Source organism: Homo sapiens, chromosome 5 (genome assembly GCF_000001405.40).
Source record: "Homo sapiens chromosome 5, GRCh38.p14 Primary Assembly".
Taxonomy (NCBI): domain Eukaryota; kingdom Metazoa; phylum Chordata; class Mammalia; order Primates; family Hominidae; genus Homo; species Homo sapiens.
The window spans coordinates 138101000-138102777 of record NC_000005.10 but is presented as its reverse complement, the minus strand read 5'-3'; the positions used below and the strand labels follow the sequence as shown (position 1 = coordinate 138102777).

Here is a 1778-nt window from a genome sequence, read left to right as displayed (position 1 = left end):
AGTTTCCACTGCCCCTATACACACCTCTGTTAGAATGTTTATCACACTACATTGGGTTGTTTGAGACAGGATCTTGCTCTGTTGCCCATGCTGGAGTGCAGTGGTACAATCATAGCTCACTGCAGCCTCAATCTCCCATCTCAAGTGATCCTCCTGCCTCAGCCTCCTGAGTAGCTAGGACTGCAGGTGCGCACCACCACACCTGCCTGATTTTTGTATTTTTGTAGAGACAAGATCTTGCTATGTTGCTTAGGCTGGCATACTACATTGTTATGAGAACAGGTGAGCATTTCTTGATTGGGAGGGATTATGTACTTTCATTTTTATGTCCCTAAGCAGTTGCCTAGCATATCCTTGACCCCATAGAAGGCATTCAGTGAAAGAATAAACTGACAGGGAGCCTCCCACAAAGGTTAGCTCATCTTTCCCCCTACCTGCCGGCAAGTCTCTACCTACCTAGACTCAGAATCAGAAAGAGGTTCAGCAGCTCAGCTCCTTCAATGGACACTTGTGGGCATCGATGGGGGAAGATGTGATGTTTCTTAGGACTTGAACCTGCACCCTCTTCACTCTTCACTTATCTCATTTACTTCCATGGCTTCAGAAAATATCTCTTTATTGATGACTCCCAAATTTGCATCTCCTTCTCAAATTTCTAGTTTATTTAGCAAGATTTCCTATACTTATTAGCCTATCACCTGCTTGATATCTTCATTTGAATGTCTCAGGAAAATTACAAAGTTGATACGCTTAAAATGGAACTTTTTTTTTTTTTGAAACAGTCTCACTCTGTTGCCCAGGCTGCAGTGCAGTGGCACAATATCAGCTCACTGCAACCTCTGCCTCCCAGATTCAAGTGATTCTCCTGCCTCAGCCTCCCAAATAGCTGGGATTACAAGCACACAGCATCACGCCTGGCTCATTTTTGTATTTTTAGTAGAGAAGGGGTTTCATCATTTTGGCCAGGCTGGTCTTGGACTCGGACTCCTGGCCTTAAGTGATCCACCCACCTTAGCCTCCCAAAGTGCTGAGATTACAGGTGTGAGCCACCACACCTGGCCAAAATGGAACTCTTAATTCTCATCTTCCTGTTAGTCCTAATCTGGTTTTCTCTCATTTCACCTATGTCCATAATTGGTAACACCTGCCACTCAAGTTACTAAAGTTGGAAAGACTGGGAGTCATCTAGCTTCCTCACCTTCTCTCAACCACCATATCTAATCTATCAGCAATTGCATTGATTCTTCCTCATTTTTTTTTTTAAGACCGAGCCTTGCTCTTGTCACCTAGGTTGGAGTGCAGTGGCACGTTCTCAGCTCACTGCAACCTCCGCCTCCCAGGTTCAAGTGATTCTCCTGCCTCAGCCTCCTGAGTAGCTGGGATTACAGGCGCACACCACCACACCCAGCTAATTTTTGTATTTTTAGTAGAGATGGGGTTTCGCCATGTTGGCCAGGCTGGTCTCGAACTCCTGACCTCATGATCTGCCTACCTCGGTCTACCAAAGTGCTGGAATTACAGGTGTGAGCCACCACACCTGGCTGATTCTTCCTCTTTTTAACGTACTGCTCACCTTCCTTCTCTCTGCTCCCTCTGTTCCTATCCTAGTTCAAGCCACCATTAGCTCTTGCCTGAACTAATACAATTGCCTTTTCTTCAGGGTTCCACTCTTGCCCCTTCCAGTCCATTTTCATATAACATCTAGTATGGGTTTTTTTATGGCTTTTTTTGTGTATGTGTTGTTTGGGTTTTGAGACAGAATCTCATTCTGTCATCCA

At 45.1% G+C, this 1778-nt stretch overlaps 1 annotated feature.

Moving 5' to 3' along the window:
* Window positions 1314–1506: a silencer, noted in NCBI's record as "fragment chr5:137436961-137437153 (GRCh37/hg19 assembly coordinates)". NCBI's record gives its function as "represses an EF-1alpha promoter that drives an FKBP-Casp9 reporter gene in an ReSE screen in HepG2 liver carcinoma cells {active_cell/tissue: HepG2}" and the evidence as "EXISTENCE:reporter gene assay evidence [ECO:0000049][PMID:32094911]".